This window comes from Homo sapiens, chromosome 14 (genome assembly GCF_000001405.40).
Source record: "Homo sapiens chromosome 14, GRCh38.p14 Primary Assembly".
NCBI lineage: Eukaryota > Metazoa > Chordata > Mammalia > Primates > Hominidae > Homo > Homo sapiens.
Window position 1 is genome coordinate 97,564,002 of NC_000014.9, and position 22,063 is coordinate 97,586,064.

General features: G+C 42.3%; 1 long non-coding RNA gene across 1 annotated transcript in view; it reads left to right on the forward strand.

Moving 5' to 3' along the window:
* LINC02325 (long intergenic non-protein coding RNA 2325) overlaps window positions 1-17,382 on the forward strand; it is a 122,568-nt gene extending 105,186 nt beyond the window's left edge. Inside the window, exon 5 of the long non-coding RNA NR_110166.1 lies at window positions 17,197-17,382. This is a non-coding gene — a long non-coding RNA (long intergenic non-protein coding RNA 2325). The remainder of the gene's footprint in view (window positions 1-17,196) is intronic.
* The last annotated feature ends 4,681 nt before the right edge of the window (window positions 17,383-22,063 follow it).

Here is a 22,063-nt window from a genome sequence, read left to right on the forward strand (position 1 = left end):
ATGGTGCCAATTCTCAAGGAGAGAAATTTACTCATTATATTTAGAATTTTGAATGAACATTTCACACAGAAACCTGGCTGAAAACAAATATTTCACTTGCCCATAATGCAAAACAAAGCTTGGGTTTAAAAATAAACACAGCACTGAAATGACAATTATATTGACGAGAATACCATAAACAAGCCCAGATCCTGATCAGATGCCTCTCACATGGTGTGCCTACCTTTAACATGTTGGTGTTATACTTTGTCTCCCTATTTAATTAAAACTGTGTACCTAACAAGGGCCATATTGTTCAAGGAGTTTGTTCTTGCACTTGGCTTTCTATGCAGCCATCAAAACAGCCATGTTTCAAGTTGTATTCCCTGCCAGCTTTGCTAGATTTTGTATTTGCACTTGCAGAGTTTTTTTTTCTTTTTCTCTTTCAACTTTTATATGGGAACAAATACTTAACCCAGGTCCACCTTCTGAAATCTCATTCTCATCAGAAATTCACCACGTGGGTAGATTTTTGCATAGCACCTATTTTAGGGGCTCTGCTGTTTCTATTCTGACTGCTCTTGAATTTTTCAACTGTCACTCAGATTTGCCATAGTTCCCCCTTGCCGTTTCATTAATCAAACACTTCTCATCATGGCGCTCAAGGCCTTTCTTGACAAGACTCTAGCCTGTACCTTTCACAAAAGCATCTCACACACTGTCTATTAGCAAACATTTAGTCATTTATCCCACAATACATACCAAGTAGCTATTGCATTACAGATGCTGTTTTATTTGCTTCTACTATGTGCACCATGCTGAGAGAGATGCATTCCTTCTTTCTCAAGATGTCCACAGTGCATATAGAGGTGAAAAGTGTCAGGTTGGCAGAAGGAAAGGATGAGTTTTTCATTCACAGGATATGGAAGACAGATTCTGGGAGGGGGTGGTGTTTGGATGGGACTTGAAGGAGGAGCCATTCAAAGACAGAGGTAAGATCAGTGGAACTTTCAAAGGGACAGAGTATGAGTCCAGAGTACATGGACTGTTTTTGGAGAATGACCAGTGGTATAGTACATTTGGAACCTTAAAAGTATTTGGGGAAATACATTGATGAACCACACTTGAAGGGGATCTTGGGGACAGAGTGTGGAGGGCTATGAGTGCCACATCAGAAATTCAGAATATGATTTTATGAGTGCAGGAAGACAGACTGAACTTTGGAGTGTCCTACACACTAATCAATTCAGATCCCCCATTATTTTCCCAAACATGCCTGGCCTTGCCTGTTTCAGGGCTTCAGTCTTCCTCATCTCCTCTGCCTGGAACAGTATTCTTGTATTTCTGCTCATGAATTTCCACCCATTTCTGTATCATCTGCGTATTCCATGCATGGAGTATTCCACGTATTCCATGCGTGGAGTTCTCCTGAAGTGCTTCTGCCTCCATGAACATCCGTGTGTGTGTGTGTGTGTGTGTGTGTGTGTGTGTGTGTGTGAATGCCTTTTGCTTCCTGATATGATTGAAAGCAGATACAGGGAGTAAAAAACACAGAGATTCTTCAACATTTCTAGTCTGCTAATGGCACTCTTGATTGTTTTCACAAACTCATTCTGTTTTCTTGCCTTGTTTGAAATATATTCCCAGTGATTTTTAATATTTTTCATGAGCAGTAGACTAGTCACCTGTTCAGCCTGCCATCCTGAACTCATAACAAAAGTTCTTTAAATAGCTTGGAATCACCATTCTACTTTTCTCCCTCACATCACATTTTCCTAAAAAGGATAAAAGTCTTCACCTAACATACAATTAAGACAATACCAGTTTGTTTTTTTCCTTTCAATGTAGTGAGGTGACATTTCACAAAAACTACAAAAAATATCTAACTGTCCATTGACTTTCCTTGTCCTTCTCTCCCCAGGAAATTCCACAGTAACAAAGACAGAAAGCTACTCTCACTCTTTCTTTCTGCAGTTCAGGACCACTTTCTTTAGTTTGTGGCTGTTGATACACAGAACCTGGTATATGGGAGAGGTCCAATTCATCCTTGTTGAATGAGTGACTATAGGAATTTGTTATCGAGCCCTGAATGTGAGTTGGTGTTGGTGATAGGGAAAGTCTCTTGCTCCCCTTTGTACTAGTGAATTGGGATTGTATTGGTGATTGAATGTTGGAACTCAGCATTGATCCTGCAGCTAATCTAAGGATGCTGGTGATATTGCAACTGCAGATACTACAGTACCACCAAACACACAGCAGCACCACCAAGCACTATCCCAGTTAATAGATCCTGTGGGACAACAGCCTATTTATAGCCTATTTCTAATGAAGTCAGTTATGAAAAACATAAAAATAAAAATACTCTCTGAATCAAGTAGCAGGAGCAGACTTTCAAGACAAGATGCTGTTTCAGTTGCTTCTGCTTTATTTGTTTGAAGATGCAATATTAATAATGACCATTTATTTACTACCTACTATATACTACACACTGGGGTATATGCTTTGCATGGGTTATTGTATTTCAATCCCACCAAAAATTTAGGAAGCAGATACTGCAATTGTTTCCATTGTTACAGACGTGGACATCAAAATGTGGAGAGTTTAAATGGCTGGTCAAAGTCATGCATCAAGTATCACAAAGAACAGGATCTCAGCCTCAGGCATTCTAACATGAGAGTTTGAGTTCTTAACCACTGGCCCCCATGCCACCCCTGTGCTGCTCAAGGTACCACCCAAAGGCTCAGGGTCAGAATTGCTTAAGCTGTGTATTCCATGGACTCTTTGCAGACCTGTTGGAGCTGAGACCCAAGCATCTAAGTTTTTAATGTTAGAGGAACAAGTGAATCGTATTCTCACCAAAGATTTGGAGCCACGGCCTTACCTCTTGAGAGCCCAGGATAAGGGGAATCATCGACCTGGACACGTCTTACAGCCAGGGAAGAGAGGTTTCCTTGAAGCCAGGGAAGAGAACAGTGCAGCTCTTTATGTCATGGGCAGGAGGATGGGCTGGGAGCTCCAGGTAAGAGCTTCTTTGCCAACAGTAAAGACTTCCCTGATTCCTAACCCAGGAATCTGGTGATGCCCCAGTTCTAGGTGGCAGAGGCTCAGATGACTACAATCTTCTGGACTGTCCTCTATTTAAGTCATATGTGGTCTGGAAACAACTTTCTAGGCAAGAGCCAATGCTGAGGGTCTGGTCTGAAGCCCTCCCAGGCTTCTCGTCTTTGAAAGTGGTGCCTCCATATCTCACATCTGGCACATCCTCCAGCACCTTCAGAGAGAAGTCTTTGTGGGCTCTGCCTCTTTCCCAGCAGTGAGAGGTGGATGTGGAGGTGATTCTAGTCACAGGCTGGCTCACTGTGGCTGCCTGAGGCATGGTGTGCTCACTGCATCCAGGGTGGCAGCTGAGAGTCATTGGCCTCCACAAGTAGACAGTGAACTTAAAAAGGCAAGCTTGGTCTGGTTTTTCCACTGAACTTCCCCTTTGGGAAAATTAATCTTTCCCATCAATCAAGATTCTTTAACAGTTTTTAATGTCCTAATCACTCCTAGGTCTTTTTCTGACCTCCACCTTGTGGGCTTTATCAAGCTTATTAGGGCCTTTGGAAATGTCTTTTTCTCCCCCTTCAACTTAAAACCTCAAGATTAGCCTCCAGATCTTCTGCTTTTTGAAATTCCGTTCAATACAGAAAATATTTAGAGAATACCATGCCAGACTCTTATTAAGACACAGATCTTGTCACAAGAGCAATCATGTTCTAACTGAGAATGGGCAAAATCTCTGAAACCATGAGCTAGCCTAGAAGAATAAGCAAAACATTGCAGGAAAACAGATGAGGCATTTATTTTATCAAGAGAGGGTTCTTAGTGAGTTGTGATCCCAATTGCATGAGACATCATTTTAGATAGCATTTAATGTTAGCTTTGTGTCATATTGCCACTTCCCTTACCGTACGCATTTTCCAGAAATCTAGAATGCTCCCTTTAGGTTGTAAAATTAACAGAATGAAGATAATACAGCCAGACTGTGGACTATTTCAAGGCAGTTACTGTGCCTTACTCCTTGTCCTGTTCCTGGACTAAACTCAGAGCTTCAAGGTATCAGACAAGTGAATGAAGAAGTGAGGATGGAATCCTTCCTATGATCGTAAATGACCCTTAATATTTGCAGTATATTTTCCAAGTTTCAGAATCTTATCACATACTCTAGCATGTTTTATTCTTGTACATATTCTGTGAATAAGAAAGTGAGGTATCATTTTTATAATGAAATTCAGCTTTCACCAGCCTAAATGCAGAGACCTGGAAGAGGCCAGGTTTGGACTTGATCTCTGATCTGCCTGGCTTTTGATTCTACACAGATTCCCCTATATCACCTGAGGAATTAGAGTTGAGTATTATTATTACTATAACTGAATATTTTTCATGGATTATTAATCTTTTTTCCTGAGTTGCAATTCATGGATTATTAGTCTTTTTACTATTTGTGATAATTAGCATATGGTAAAAGCAAAAGAATGTTCAGACAAAATGACTTCACTTGATTCTAATGTTTGATTTGAGAATTTATGTTTGGTGAGTGATGATGTTCATTTCGTTGGAATTTCAGAGCCAATAGGCATGGCTGATCATATTAACACCCTCCCCTCTTGACTTCCTGCTTATCACAGGCTACTGTCATACTCCTTTGTCACCGTGGTTTCTGCACTTCAGGATTCTTCTGTGAATCCTTCTCTTTTTTATCTAAAAGGTGGTCCTGCTTAGGTCTTGATCTTCAGCCCCTTCTCTATGCCCTTTCCCTATTCCATTTCATCCAACTCTCTTGGCTTATTTACATTGTTAAGCCCATGGAGTCTCAATTTTTATCTCTAGTATGAACTTTAGTCCGTCATATCCAAATGCTTACTTGGAATCTCACAGACCTTCTTATTTCATTCAGTAAGTATGCACTCATTACTTACTACATATTTGGTACTCTTCCAGGCATTGAGAATACAGCAAGGAAAAGACTTAAGGTAACTTATCCATCCATAACTTATTAAAGTGGAACTTCATTTTTCATCTGTGAAACCTGTTCTCTGGTTTGTCTTAACTTAATAAATGAAGTGCCATTCATCCAGTGTTCTAGATGAAAGCCTGGGAGTTGCCACAATTCTTTCATTTCTTTGACTTCTCAAATCCAGTCCATCAACAAGTTCTGTCAGTCCTAATCTTAACATTACTCTCAAGTTCTTCCCCTTCTCTCCATGTCTGTTGCAACTACAACTAGTCCACGAAGATCACCATCGTCTCTTATCCAGATGACTGCAATAGTCTCCTGACTTCCTGTCTTGGTGCTTCTGTCCCTTTTGCACACCACAGGAAGAGTGACCTTGAAGTATGTCACTGGACCACACCATTCCCTGATGAAAACCACTGATGCCTTTTCTTTGTATTTGGGAAACAATTCAAACTGTTAGCATGGCCTTCCCATATGTCTTCTGGGCAATCTGACCCCTGGGCGCATCTCCAAACTCATCTCACATAATTCCTTCATCATCTACCACCCCCTAGTCACATTAGTATGCATACTGGTCCTTGAATACACCAATGCTCTTTCACATTTCAGAGTCTTCCCATACACCATTCCCTCTGCCTGGAATATCCCTTTTTCTTCTGTTTGTTGCTTGCTTCTTTTTCAACTTTTGAGCTGAGCTTAATGATCTCCTCAGAGAGGGCTTCTTTGATTGTTCTTTTTTTTTTCTGTTCCAATACTTTATTCTTTATAGAATTTAGCACAACTCATGATCATTTTACTGATATTTGTGGTTTAGGTTTTTAAAAATATCTTTTTCTACTAAAATATAAGCCCATTACAGGTAGACTTTGTGTTATCTTGTTCATCGGTTTTATGCCTAGTGATTAATCCAATGCCTGATATGTAGCAGGCCCACAATAAACACTTCTTGATTGAATAAACGATTATTTTGCCACATGAAAGACTAACAACTGAGATTTTGCTTAAATTTCATCAAATATCTAAGGCAACTTATTGATTTTTTTCTGAGGAAAACATAAATAATAACTGGGCTCAGTGACATTTTTAATAGTCATGAAATAATTACAGAAAAGTCTTCATCTAAGCATACAGTCAATAAGTGTTAATATTGTCTCTCTTCCAGACCAGGGTGTCACATGAAGAGATGTTTAGGGAGCTACTTTATATGGTTTCTGAGATTGCATGTAATGACATTTATCATTTGCCCATGCAAATGTGATTTAATCTTAGTCGGTGATCCTTTATCAGTCCCTCCTCTGTGCGAGATTCCACGGGCAAAAGTTGAATATATGAGTCTTGGAGGAGCATCCAACCTGCAGAAAGGGACCACGACGATTTCAGACCTAACTCAAGGGAGATGATAAGAATGTAGCAGTCTTTGGTACAGATATGGAAACATATATATGTTTTGATAACACAGAAAAAAGAGATTGAATTTTCCCCTAGGAAAAGAGGGACAGTAATGGCATTTTTGTTGTGTCATGGGGATGAAATAATATCAGGATGAGAAAAGGGGAGAAGGGAAACCAAAAGAAGCCGGATGCACTGGCATCTACGTCACAGATTGAGAAGCATGTTCCATATCTTTTCCAACTCCATAATCCTGTGGGCCAATAGTACAGGGATTTCTAATGTTTTGTGATTTTTGTTGTTGTCTGTTTACTTGTTTTTACCAAGGGAATTAAAAATCAGAGGATCAGTGAGTTTTCCTAAGGACACTCGACTCCTAGCAGTGAGAGGTCTTCAATCACGGCTTGTGGATCTAGGCTTCTGAACCTAGCTCTGTGCTAGCCTGTCCCATGCAGATGTTGAATTAAACGGGTGGCTTCAGATCCCCCTTCACTTTTCTACTCCCTCCCACCAGTCTGAGAAACACTCTGTGATGATTGATTTCCTCGCAGAATGTGGGTCCCAAATAGCCAATAGTGTCACCTGTCAACAAATTTCCCAAACTTTAAGGGGCAAAGTTTTAACTTTTTAAACATTCTCAAAATCAGAGAAAATGTCTACAACTCCTACATGCTGGGCCCGCTCAGCTTACACAATGTAGTGTGGACTCTGCAGTAACTGGTTATTTCACAAAGCCATGGGCTTCTGCTCACCTTCCCTTCCAGAGTGCTCTGTACGCTGCCAGAACCCTTTCTCTGGAATGGAATCATTTAAGGCTGTTGAAGGCTTCTCTCTCCTAACTGGCTGGTAACCAAATGTTGGCAAGATGACAGCCATCTAATGCAGTGCCCAGGGTCTCAGAGAGGAGAGGTGGGAGCAAGGATAACATCTAAGGCTGCTCATTATTGCAAGCACCTAGTATTGAAGGAGGCCATCACTTGGATCTGGAACTAATGCTTTTTGTTGCAACATATTGTGCTGGCGCTAGGAGGAGGCTGGCACTAGGCGAGAAAGCATAACGATAAGGTGGATGCCAAGTGCTTCTGTGAAGATGAGACAGATCCCCGTTTCATAGAACTGTCTTAATCAAAGAACCTCAAGAGCCCGCCCCTCCTCAATATACACATTCTGTCCCATGTATTATTCTAATCCTCACTCAAACCACCCAACCACCTCATACCTATGTACACACACCCACTTCCCACTAAACTTCCTGATGGCAAGAGCAAGGACTAGAGAGGGCAAGGACATTCAGGGCCCGCTAATATAAATGTAACTATCTAATAGATCAATTCCAGAAAGATAACAGGGCGCAGGCTTTGAGAGGCTGAGAAGAATTGAATTTCCTTGTCTAACAGAAGATCCGGCTCTTTCTCTTGTCTACTAAAAAAGGCTGGGCATTAGCACGCCAGGTTCTCAGAGAACTCGCCAGCAGAGAGGCATCAGGTGGACTCTGGAGAAGGTCAGACCTGTGACCAGTGAGTTATGGGCACCCAAGAGATGGCTGAGATTTGAGTTTACATCACTGCCTCCTCTGCTAGTGTGACTGCATCCTCCTTCCATCATCAAAACCCTCGTTTAACCTTGGCCTTGAATTCAGGCCAGCTACATGCAATGGTGTGTGCTAGCTGTGCTATGAGGAAGTAGATCCCTGCGGTGGTGGTGAGGAAAGACTAAGGTACATGATTCTGAGGCAAGCTGGGGGATGGAGAAACCAGCAAGATCAAAAATAAAGAGGAAGAAGAGGCTGTGAGAGCCTGGGCATCCGATGCTCTTGACTCAGAAAACCATAAAAGTCTTGGAGAAGATTCCAGTGCTCCACAGAGCTCTGGGGTCCCAAGGTTGAGATGTAGGCTGAAGGGAGGGGGCTGAGGAAGCTGTGCAATCCATCTGCAAGAAACTGGACACAAGGCCCAGCCCAGCTCAGCAGGGCTACAGACTCCACAAAGGCCTTGGGAGCCAAGCAGGGGGCAGGTGCTTGTGGTATACCCTGGGCCGCCGTCAAGCTTCCAAGTCTCCCAGGAGGCCAGTGCTGGCCACCTCCCAGCCTCTCTCTAGCCCATCAGTACCCCAACCTTCCAGTGTCTTCTGCTTGGTCTCCTGCCTCATTTACTTAACCCTTCAAGCTGAATTGGTTGTCCTGGGCTCTGAACCCAGGCAACCAACAGAGCAGAGCATTAGCTTTCGTGTTAATGGCAAATGGGGGAAGAAGTATCCAGAGGAAGATCTGAATAGTTTCCATGAACTTAGAAAAATAACCAAACCTAACAAAAGACTGAGCTCTGTGCATTCTACAATGCAATCGCTCATTCATTCATTTATCCCAACTCACTCATCTCTTCAGCCTCACCCCCCTCTCACACACGTGCTCCCTTACTGAGCATTGCAGTCCAGCCTGACATCTCAATGGAGTTGTTTTTCTGTTGTCTTTCCTCTTTCACCCCAACCCCTATTTGTTCCTTTCCTCCTCTCCTTTCCCTCCCAATGGCAGTTTTTTTTTTTTAATTTCAGAAGAAAACTTACAAAAATTGTTGAAACATTCACTACAAAGCAAAACCTTATTTTTTTTTTAACATTCAGCAGAGAGCTCCTCGCCCCCAACCCCACAAAAAACCGGCAGCCATGTCAAAGACACTGCCTCCCCCTTTGACATTCATGCAGTGCTCTGAGTCAGCTGGGGTCTCCGCTCTGACAAATTTGCATCTCTTTGAATGTGACGCTTGAAAAAAGCCGGAGCCGCTAGATTAAATTTTTTTTTCCGTCGAGAAAATGAGAAAAGCCTCTATCTCTCGGCAGAGTCTACTGGGAAGATCTTTATTCTGATTCTTGTTAGAATTGTTTATCACCCTGACAGGCCAGACTCGGACGAGATAAAGGCTCCGCTGCATCACGGGGCCTGACAGTGGTAGGACATGCAGAAAAATGAAAGAAGCTGGAGAAAATATTATTAATAGATGCCGACTTGCTTTGCCTGCACGGCACGTCAGGGAAGGGAGAGGGGAGCCATGGCTTGATTGCAGGCCTATGAAGTTCTGTCCAAAAAAGAAGCTATTTTTCATTAAGTGATAGAAGGGCCTTTTTCATGTTCTTTCCTTAGGAGCTGATAACTTATGCAGGGTTATTCTAACCCTGCTGATTTCTGTCAGGGGAAGAAAACTCCTGAAAGATGGCTTTGACATGTCCTTTTCAGGGAAAGAAGGCTGGTTTGACAGACACACAAGCAGTCGGGAGGCCTGGCCTGGATAGGCTCAAGGTCCCCAGATTCTGGTCGGGCATGTGTTCTTGTGTCTAGGATAGATGGGGAAGGGGAAAGAAAGACTAAGCCAAGAGCCCCTCAGCCTCGAGGGGGGCTCTCTGCCTTATGAATGTAAGGCTTCCTCAAGTGGGTCTGTGTGTATGACTCCCTTCCTGGAAATACACCCTTGGTGCTTCCATAAGTTGATGCCTTCCCAGCCACATTGCCGTTTACTGCTGTATCAGTCTGCTTGGGATGCCAAAGCAAAATACCACACACTGGATGGCTGCAACAAGAGAAATGTATATTCTCGCAATTATGGAGGCTGAAAGTCCAAGATCAAGGTTCTGGTAGGGTTGGTTTCTCTGGAGGCCTCAGTCCTTGGCTTACAAATGGCTTTCTCCTTGCTGTGTCCTCACGGGCCCTTCTTCTGTGCACGCACACTCTTCTCATCTCTTTCTCTTCTTATAAGGGCACCAGTCCAATTGGGTTACAGCCTCAGCCTCATGAACACATTTAACTTTACTTGCCTTCTTACAGGTCATTCCTCCAAATAAAGTTACACTCTGAGCAACTAGGGCTTAGGACTTCAAAGTATTAATTTTGGGGAGACACAAATGAGTCCATAAGAATGATGCAGCAATTTCTTCCATCTTTGTTTTTCTGGATTCAGGCAGCAGAATCTGAGAGTGGGACCTGATGCCAAGGCAGTCCTGCAGTGTCCCTAAGGAAAAGCTTATTCTTAGGGCTGGAAGCTATGCAGATTTGTCTCAGTCAGCTGGCCCCTGGCACCAAGGAGAAGGCCCTTGTGAGGAAGGTGGGGAAGGTGGCCTCTGACAATCCTTTTTCCCTGATGGGACAGCTGTAGTGGGAGAAGAGCCATGGCATGCCTCAGCACTTGGACTGGTAGCTGAGTGACCCAAGGCAAGTTGCTTAACCCTCTGCGCATTGGTTTCCTCTCCTGTAGAGGTGGTAGCATTTCTGTTGATGCCTAAACTGAATGGGGACTGAATGAGATAAGGGGACGTGATAGCTCCTCATCTAAGCTGGAGGATCGTGTAGATTATAAAGGATAATTACAATTGCTGAGGGGTGGGCACATGGTGGGTGTTTCCACCTGTCAGGCAGCACTGCCATGGGTAACCCAGTGAGTCTGGGCATGTGAACTTTGTCCAACTTTGGTCTCAGCCATGAATCTGTAGGGGATTTATCTCCAGAGTTTTGTGGGAACTGGTGAATTTTCTCTGTAATCTGAGTCCTGATGCTGAATCTCCTCCTTCCCCAACCCAGAAGCCAGAAGGCTGGCTGAGGGCTCTGTGACAACTCAGTCGGACACCCACTAACACCAGGGGTATTCATCCATTTCACACTGCTATAACTAACTGGCCGAGACTAGGTAATTTATAAAGGAAAGAGGTTTAATTGACTCACAGTTCAGCATGGCTGGGGAGGCTTATAATCACAGTGGAAGGTGAAGGGGAAGCAAGGCAGCAGGAAGGAGATTGATCACAGGATGAACTACCAAACACTTATAAAACCATCAGATCTCATGAGAACTCACTCAATATCAGGAGAACAGCATGGGGGAAACTGCCCCCATGATTCAGTTACCTCCACCTGTTCTCTCCCTTGACACATGGAGATTATAATTCAAGATAAAATTTGGGTGGGGACACAAAGCCAAACCATGTCACCAGGAAATGGCAAAATTCACTCAATTTAACAGTTTGGGGTCTGTGGGAAGAACCTCAGTGAAACTGGAGGTGAGCGATGTGGTTCAGGCATTTCCATTTCAGTGGGATTCATGGAGCATCTGGGATGACCAAAGACCTTGTGCATAAGGGACTAGACTTATGTAGACATAGGTGACACATTTGCCTTTTCTGTGTCATTTACTACTTTAGAACATGACTTAATTTTTCAAACATGACTTAACTTTTTCAAGCTTCAGCGTCCTTGTTTCTCAAATGGGTAATACTGGAGACAGCTGTATTAATAAAGTGTATACATTGTTGGCATGACTCCTGAAGTTAATAAGTGCTCAGTTTGCAGTTGTCATGATGTTGTTGTTGCTGTTGACAACGGTGATGATAATGTTTGATGACGATGGTGATGGCGATGACAGCAATGATGGTGATAATGATGACAATGATGATAATGATGATGATGGCAGTGATGATGGTGATGATGACCATGATGATGAAGAAGATGATGATGAAAGTGATGACAATGATGATGACGATGATGATGATAGTGACATGAGGATGTTGGCAATAATGATAACAATGATGGTGGTGATGATGACAATGATGAAGGTAACGACTGATGATGATGATGGTGATAACAATGATGATGATGAGGATGGTGATGGTGAGGATGGACATAGTTATTTGCTTGATAACTAACACATGCACAACACTGAAACGTGTGCTGGACAGTACCCTGGATCTTTCTGTGCTTTGTCTCATTTAATGCTCAACTTTAATGAGTAGGCATCCTTTTTATCCCCACTTTAACGATGAAAACCTTGATGTTCAAGAAAGGTCAATGAATTGTCCTGGGTCATACAACCAGTAAGAGACTCTGCAATTGGCTGGGATAGTGCTGGGCCTTGGCTGGAGAGTTGGGGAGGGTCTTTCATTTTACCACGTGAAAGACAGGAAATTACCAAACATCCATGATGGGAGTAAAATCCCAGAAGAGCATCTTCACTTTATAATCTAGAAGGTAACTGAAATTATTGGCCAATTGTGTACAAAGTCACCTAGTAAGTCATGTAGACTGGTAGAAATTAGTCACTAGACCCTAGTGATTAATAAAATGAGCAACACTCAAAAATGAACTAAAAGGTCCCAAGTATTTTCTGGCATGGACTGACTAAATAGTTCCTGCAGGGATTCACCTTTCACAGAAATCTTTTGCTCATCCTTCAGCAAACAGGTTCAAAGTCACTTCTTCAATGAAGCCTTCCTTAAGTTCTCCAACATAGGTTACTGCCTATCTTCTACAGTGATGAAAAACGTCTTCTATGGTAATGAAAAACATGTAACATATTTGCAGATTTTCTGGCAGAAAAGTATCACAGCACAATGAAATCATTTAGGGACTGGTTTGTCTTCCCTCCTTGACTCTCCCAGTGGAAAGATGGAGGCCCTGCAGGACCCAGGACTTTGCCTGACACCAAGATGGTATTCAGTGAACATCTGTAAGCAGAACCATGGAAATTAAACAGCCTATGAATCATAAATATATTGAATATGAATCTTAAATCTGTAACGAGAAAAAAGTCATGATGTTAACAGAGAGCAAAAGTTTTATTTTGAAATATGCAATTTAGAAATAATAATGAAATTAAGAGTTATATTTTATTTTATTCAGCACAATAATAGCTCAGGCCAAGTACCAGGGTGGTGGCAGGGTTTGGGCTGTGTTGCAGAAATATCTGGGGTATGAGTTCTGCCCTGAGGGAGCTTCCCTCTAGAGACAAAGCAGCCCCTGAGAGTTACTTTTTCTGTTGTCATTGAGCAACCTGAAGGAAGAGGTGAATCTTAGAAATAGGAGGAGAGAAGACACAGGATTGAGCCTTTGGGCCACAGGAGTGGAAGTTTAAAGAATGAGTGGGATTTCTCTAGGTCATCAAACACTTGCAGTATATGCAAAAATGCTCCTGAAAGAAGAAATATGAACGAAGACCAGGAGGCATGAAGGAGGGTGGCAAGCTGAGGTCCATGAGTGCCAGGATGAGCTTTAGGCTCTGTGTGGAAGACAGGATTCCAGCCATGGATTTTTCCCCCGTTCATCACAATTCAGTTGACCTTTCTGGGTGCAGATTCTTTATCTCTAAAATGACCGTGATGAAGTAGATAAGGGAAGGGTCTCTTCCCAGCCAAGTGAGTCAGATTATCTATGGCTTGCTTTTCTTTGATGGCTTGAAAATGAAGTCTACTCATAACTGATTAATTCCCTTCAGAAATTAATTGAAAAGAGTTCTGATATTGGGATGAGGTCTACTTCTTAATTTCAACTTCTTCCTATACCTGGGGTCAATTCTGTTCAGCTTAACAAACATTAATATGGTGATAACTAGGAGCCAAACATTGGGAAATCTGGACACATTTGAGAATAAAAGGTGGTACCACTCATAATTATGTTGTAAAAACAGGTTAAATTAAATGACTATACTAGGGAAACTAAGATGTGGGATCACCCTAGCCATATACCATATTAAGCACTTGAGAAATAGAGCGAGTAAGAGATTCAAGTTCTGCTCTCAGAGAGCCTATAGTATAGTTGGAGACACAGCCATATTTATTTACTCTCATATTTATTTGCTGAATTGTTTACTTATCTTCTCCAAGCCTCAGTTTCTGCATCTCTATGTTGGGCCTAATACTGGCATCACCCTTGTAGGATTGCCCTTGATGTTAATAGATACTTCTAAGGATGATATACACACAATCTTTTCACAGTGGCTGGTACTGAATGAACATGCATTGGTTCACTGCCTGGAATGGTATTTGACATAAATAAAGTGTTCAATAAGTATTTATTGAAGGAATGAATAAATTAACGTTGACCACTGTTATTGTTGAAATTGTTGTCCGTCATGGGTCCCGAGGTGATTTTATAATATAGTTTAATAAATATTATGATATAAACAAGCATAAGACCATCTATGCAGAAAAAAAATAGAGCACTGAAATCACCTCAAGAGAAAATAAAGAAACAACTTCTGGAGAAGAAGATACTTGAACTAGGGGTTAAATCATGAATAGCGAAAACCAAAAGTTGGAGTGCGGAAGGCTGAGAGGAGGGTGAGTGTGCTCCAGGCAGAGATGACAGCACAGACAAAGGCACAGGACTGGGGCACAGCAGAGTATGTTTAGCAAACTACAAGTGTTTCTGGATCTTAAATGCAGGACGTGGGAAGCAGCTGTAAGTGCAAGGAGAGAGGAAGCCAGTCATGACTTATTGTAGGCCATGCTAGGGTTAGACTTAACCTTGAACAGGTTGGGGAGCCATGGCAGAATTTTGAGCAGAGTAGTAACATGGCTTGACTTATGTCTTAAGTCACCATCAATGTTCTTGTTTTTCTTCTATTATTAACATCCTGTCTTGCATTTGCAGACAATACCTTTCCTCCAGTAGATCTGGTCCGGTGGGTCTGTACTTGAGAGTAGCTAGACCTTCTCTAGCCAAGGTGTGGGTCTTAGCTAGATCTAAGCCAATCAGTCTTGTCCATGGATTTTGCATCTTAACTAGAGTGAAGTCTTTTTAAAGAAAATGGCTGGGACTGGTTGATCCTGGCAGAAGTGCTTGGAGACAGTCTGTGAGTTCCTGCTGCCCAGATCCCCAAGAGGGCCCAGTAATTTCCATCAAAGCTACAGTATCCCAGGTGCCTGCTGTCACACAGACCTGCTGGACTTACTGACAGTATTGCTGAGATCTGCTGTCAGCCCCAGTCTCCCACTTGCCTTCTAACCTTATGTTAGTGCTTCTTATTGGCAGAGCAGGGCTAAAGTCAAGTAACTAGAGACTGAGAAATGTAGTTTATAGGTTCAACCCTCTCTAACAAAGAAGAGGATATAGAAAGAAAAACATGAAACTGAGAGCCAGGATGCAAATCTATGGCACACTATTTTTTATGACTCTCTTTCCCACAGAGGTATTTTAATGCAGGTTTACACTAGAGGGCCTGTGATGTTAATCATATACTAAGGCAGATGAGGCCAAAGTCAATGAGGGCCAGATGGAATGATCAAAACTGGTCAGGCAATTATCACTACAATGTAAATCCCCTGAGTGCAATGATTCTCTTTCTTATTCATTCCTCTAACCTGACTCCCAATCTCCTAAAATAAGTGTTCAATCAATATTTGTTGACTGTCTGGCTGACTAATGGGAAACTTCCATTCAATGATAGCTATAACTGAAAGTTGAAAAATCTTCTCACTGGCAATTTCATATGTGATCCAAAGACCTTTGCAAACTGCAAATGTTCTTCGATGGGTGGTCACAATGTTCTATAGGAGACCTCAAGTCTCATAAACCATGTGCTGTGTGGATGCCATAAGCATTCATTAAGACTAGTTAAACTACTGAAACAAAAAGATCCCAACATATTTAAAGGCTCACCTATAATAATAAAATCCAAGATAGTTATATTTGGCCATCAGGCAGTTTGTCTTCATGTTATGATGCAGGAACCCAATAACGTTCTATTTTGTGGCTCTGAACTCCCCTAATATCTTGCTTTCCTCAACTGCATTGAGCTGCGAGAACGGGAACAAGAATATGAAGTAGACCCACTGCTTCTTAGAAGACTTGGCAGAAGTGACACTAATCACTTGGGTCCATCCCATTGGCAAGAAGTAGCCCTGTGGCCAAGGAAACTTAAAAACATGGAAGAGCTGTGTGCAGTATGTGCAGAGGAAGAGAAGGAAGCTGATTTCTGGGGAAGACCTGTCTCTGCCCCGACAGTGTGCATGTGCATACATATGCATGTCTGTGTGTGGTATAAAATTTTTTCAACATAGATTTAATTCAATATTGCAAAAAGGGCGAATACAGTTTAAAAATTACTTTGATGATAATTATTTAATTTACTCAAGTTTCACAAGATCTCATAGTTGCTGCTGCTTTTGTCTTTTTCTCTATTTATTTGTTTATTCCTGGAAGGGGAAGGAAAATATATATTTGAGGATTTACTGTGTTCCTAAATTTTGCTTAGTAAGCCATACATATCATTTCATTGACTCTTCCCAATAACTTCGTGAGTTAGATTCTGTCACTCTTCTTTCATAGATAAAAGCACTGAGGCTCACAAAAGTGAAGTAACTTTCCTCAAGTCCCAGGGCTGAGAAATTGCAAACACATAATTTGGACTGAAGTTTGCCCCCTATTCACTGGGGCCACCTGTCTGCCAATGGGAGTAGGAAAGGCATTCACCATCAGAAGGCCACAAAGAGCTCTGAGGAACAAGTACACAAGGAGGTATTCCCACACATGGGTGGCACTGGTTTTCATATTAAATACTTAGGAGCATCTCCACTCTCACAAAGAAATGTGTTCATTCACAGTTTCATAAAACATGGTATTTCTAGTTTATCTTTTATGTTTTCTACCATAGATAGCGACACAGCAGACAAAGGAAATTGTATTCTATTGTAAGAAAACAAAAGAATAAACAAGGCCCTACTGAAGGGAGATGACAGGTGTTTAGGGTCGTGCCTGATGGCGAGTGAGCGTCCATGAGGTGTGAAGGATTCTGCCCCTGACAGCTCCAGCCGCTGTGGCTACAAGCAGAAATGGAGCCCACTGTTGCCTCATTTTCCAACTTTTCAAGAGAAGCTGAGGCTGTAGATGTAAAATTCCCATTTGAAATATTAGATCAAATGAAAAAATAATAAGGTTGAACAAGTCATAGTCACAGGCTAAATTCAGCACCAGGGACAGCAGGGGTGTGACCTCTGCTTTAGCTGATACTCTCAGGCTGCGGGTCCACAAGGCAGGAATTACTCACCCATCATCCCAGCCTCTCCTCTTTGTGTTACAGACAAAGCTGCAGCACTGCCAAGGACATGGATCTCTCAAGCTCCTGTCTGGCACATTGCAGGAAGTAAGGGGCATGTCTAACCACCACGCTCAGCCAAGCCAAAGAACAAAGGCAGCGGCACTCTCTCTGGACCTTGGGGAATAACACAGCCCTCCCAGGCAGAAGATGCAAGCATTCCTGTTGCAGTGCAATTAGGAGCAGCGAAGAAACTCAGACATGTGCCCCTTCTGTGTTGGCAACTGATATGACAGAACTTCATGAGGTGCAAAATACAGGCTGTGTGTGTGTGTGTGTGTGTGTGTGCACACTCGGTGCTATATGCTGCAGCCCAAGTTTCAGAGTGATTTTTAACTTGAAGCTGATGAGATGGGATATTGTGTCTTTTTTAAAAATGTAACCAACAACAAACTTTGCTTGGTGTAATTTTAGCAAGGACGCAAGTGTGCCAAGGTGCAGTATGTTATTGTTGAACTACTGTTTTGACAAAATAGTATGTATGTGTGGTTGTGTCTGTGAGTATAAAGGAGGCAAGCAAAAAGAGAAAAAATGATATGTACTTTTTAGGGAAGTGAATGCAATAACAGAGAGACAAGAAATTTAGATTAGAAAGCTGTTAAGTTTCACTGTTGTCACAGGTCTTCTTGGAAGCTGTTTGTCTGTAAAGAGGCACCCAAATACTCAGCTAATTCTTAAAACATTTTTTCTAGCAAGTATCTCTGGAGCTTACCCTGTGCTAGGCACAGTAGTAGCCCAGGCCACTCCAAGATGCACAGGACATATTTCTGCTGCCCCATGGTCCACTGGGGACAATTATATAGATCTGCACAGAACTGCCCCATCATTCCATAAGTCACCAGAGTGGACAATATTTTATTGCTATAATTAATGCAAAGCTCTGCTGGTAGTGACTGTCATATAGCAGCATCCCCAATAAATTAATAGGCACAGGGTAAGGTGTTTTGCACTAGTGTTTCTTATTCTCATAACAATATCAGATGAGATCACATTATAAAGGAGGCAAAACAGAGGAAGGCAATACTGCAGAGTGATTAATAGATCAAGGCCTGGTTCAGCCTCTTACTAGTTGAATGACCTTGGTCACTTTACTTAATTGTATTATTCCCCACTGTGCTTGTCTATGATTTATGGATTATAATAATGCTATTGTATTCGTTAGTTTTGGTGCATAACCAACCATCACAAAATCCAGCAGTTTAGGCCACAGCCACTTATTATCATGCATGCATCTGTGATTCAGCTGGGGCATGTCTGATCTAGGCTGGACTCTGCTGAGGGTTCTGATTCCAGGGGCAGCTGCCTTGGGTCTTATTCTCACTGCAGGTCTCTGAATCGGGTGGGTGGCTCTGCTCCACGTGTTCTGTGTTTTTGTGGGGCAAGTGGGCTTGCTAAGGCATATTCTACCTATGGCAATGGCAGAAATGCAAGAGAGCAGGCTCCATCTCAAAAGTGCTTTTGAAGTCTCTGATGACATTACAATAGTGGTGGCCCATTGGTCAAACTGAGTCACATGACCAAACTTAGAGTCATTTAGTGGAGAAGTAGACTCTGCTTCCTAGACACAAAGTGGGGGAAAGAGTATATATTTCTGAGCAATAATATAATCTACTAAGCTATCTTTCCCCCAGAGTTGTTTTGAGAATTGCATCTAAAGAATGATATAAGGTACTTAATAAAAGGTTAGGACACAGTGAGGGATCAATGAAGCAAGATAATTTGTTATTAGTAAGAATTCTCTTTACGTGATGGATGATCCAATTGAGGTAGACGTTAAGTAACTTGTCTAGGATTACACAGTGTCAAGTGAAGAAACATGATTTGAAATCATATTGTCCAAATTCCATTCATTTTGATAGAAACCTATGGACCGTTGGGCACTGGAGGATAGATTCTAAAGATCCAATAAAGGCAGGGTACGCATTCTAAATATACAAGCTGGCCCTATTTAGGAAGGCAGATTACTGTCTTGAATGTTGAGAGAGCAAACCTAGGTGAGCAAAGACCAAATCTAAGTCCTGGGAGCTAGAGTAAGAAAATAAATCACTATGACAACTATGCATTGAGACCCCTGTGTACCAAGTCCAGGGTGAGGAGACCAGGGGCCTGGGCCCTCCGGTGAGAGCTAATGATTGTTCCTTTGCTGTGCCTGCTTAAAGGCTCTACAGCCTGACCCCACACACTGGCCCTGGGGAGCGTGTGCCGGCGGCTGGAGCTCTCCCTTCTCTTTTCAGCCAGTCAGTGGGAAGAAAGAGATTTCCTCTAGAACCTTTCATTTGCTAACATTTATTTTCCTCCTCTGATCTTTCTTTTCCTCCCCTGAGGACCTTGAGTTTATAAGTATTAAATTTTTTAGAACTCTCTGAAAGTACTACATTAAATGCAGACAAGGCTGACGGGTTCCCTGGGCATTTGGTGCTAATTTCTAGCATGCCCCTTGTATATTGGCTTAAGTCACTTGCTTATATGTTGCAGTCTACTTCCTGCCCTCTCTTCACTCTGTGCCCTCAATCCCTAGATGGCAAACCCATTGTAACGTTGTACCCAGCACATGCTTTAACCAGGTCACCCATTCAAAAATGGGTGAGTGAATGAATGATGGATGAAAAAATGTGGTGAATAAATAAATGAGTCAACCAATTATACATAAATGGATATATGGGTGAATGAAGAAGTAGATGGGTCAACGGGTGGGTGCCAGAAGGTGAGGGGGAACATAAAAGAGTAGGTGACCTTTAAGCCCCAATTACAATTAGTCTTTGTCAACAACTTTTCTTCTGTTCTCACACTACTAATAAAGATATATTTGAGACTGGGTAATTTATAAAGGAAAAAGGTTTAATGGACTCATAGTTCTACATGGCTGGGAAGGACTCACAGTCATGGCAGAAGGCAAAGGAGAAACAAAGTCATGTCTTACATGGTGGAGGCAAGAGGGCAGGTGCAGGGGAACTTCCCTTTATAAAACCATCAGATCTCGTGAGACTTATTTACTATCATGAGAACAGCATGGAAAAAACCTGCCCCCATGACTCAATTACCTCCAACCAGGTCTCTCCCATGACACTTGGGAATTATGGGAGCTAAAATTCGAGATTCAGGTGGGGACACAGCCAAACCATATCAACTAGCAAGCACATCTTGGTCAAGAAGATCTATTAATTACATTTATTGCATCAACTTTAACTCAGAACCTGTAGGAAGGAGGGGTCTTGCATTTGTGTCAGTAGGGCTGTCTTGGTAGTACAGTTTTGAGGGAGATTATAAAATTTGAGACAAACTCCTGGCTTCTGATAGACACTTGGGTAAATTACTAATACAGCAGGGCAGAGAATTCAAGCATGGTATCTGAACTCATTCAGCTACAGTCTCTTGTTTATCTGTCAGGAAAGCAAATGGAACCTGCGATCTGTGTATTTAGGGGTGTTCTTGAGGGAGATGTTATTGAGGGGGCGGGGCATAAATTGCCATGCAATTCTAATGGAACCTTTCAGACCACTCTGCACTTCTGAGTTGACAGTGACCTCCTATGGCAAGGCAGGACATGGCACTGATACACAGGGAACCCTGGATGGTGACTCCTGGGAGGCACTCAACATGAACTTACCCACTCTCTAGATTGGCTGCCACCTGAATGATCTCTTTCTCCTCTTACTTCCAGTGGAACTCTTTCTTGTAGCTCTCTTTTGATTCTAAGCTGCCTTAGACTCTCACTGACCTTAGACTCTCATTGACCTTGTTGTAGGCTACAGACAACTGGAGAGTAATCTCTGTGTTAACTCATCTCTAGCTGACCAGAAGGTGCTATTTTAGCTGACTGTGGGATAATGGTGACAAGATGTCATTTCCAACTATGCTGATTCTTCTGAGCGTGCAGGAGCACCTTTGTTGGAAAAAGTGATGGGAGATTAGAGAGAGGAGAAACCACTAGAGTAGACTCTGGAGTGGCCGTGGAGTCACATCTTAGAAGTGATGGCATCAGAGCTGGGCTGTTATAAGTAAAAACAACTTCAGAGTGCAGGGACGGAGAGAGAAGGGGTTTATGGCAGAGGGTGGGAACCCACAAGCAACATGTAAACTGAAAGGAACCAGATGCTTAGGGTATGAGATCTTGAGAAGGCTGACATGGTTAAATCAGTTCACTCCCTGGGCATGAATGAAAAGTCCAAAAATTATTTACAAAAGCATCCACTTGCATTTCATTCCCAAGTGGTCTTTTAAATGCCCAACAGGATTTGGTAGGTTTGGTGAACCCAGCCAAGCTCCATCAAGCAGTAAAAGACTCGAGTGTCGTATAACACAGCCTAGTGGAGTCTACTCCACAGTTCTGCTCATGGCCACTGACATGTCCTCACCCTGCAACTTCATTCACCAATTCCTTGTTTCTAGGTGTTCCAACCTTATATAGGAATATCTTCATCATGTTCTGCTTCTCATTTCCATCTCTGTAGTTGAATGTGGTCTTCTCTTCCTGGGGGATGAAGGATTAACTGTACACATTTACTTTCTTGAGGGCCTTTTAACTAGTTGCCTGGCTTAGTCTATCTTTTTAATGCCTCTGATTACTGGGGTAGGGGATAGGAATTTTGGTCATAAGATGTTCTAAGGACATACTTCTATCTGCATAAAGTATTTCTAACATGTAGAGCTTAAATAAATATCCTTCTTCTAAGTCCTCATGTCCTCATGTCTACACTGACTATCGATATAAGACAGCCATGGGAAATATGACTAGAAAGGCAAGTAGAGGCCATTACTCAATTGCTAATGATGGAAACACACAAACTTGTCTGAGATCTGGACTCAGTAAATAGCATATAACATGGCATTCTAGATGATTTTCTTCAAATGA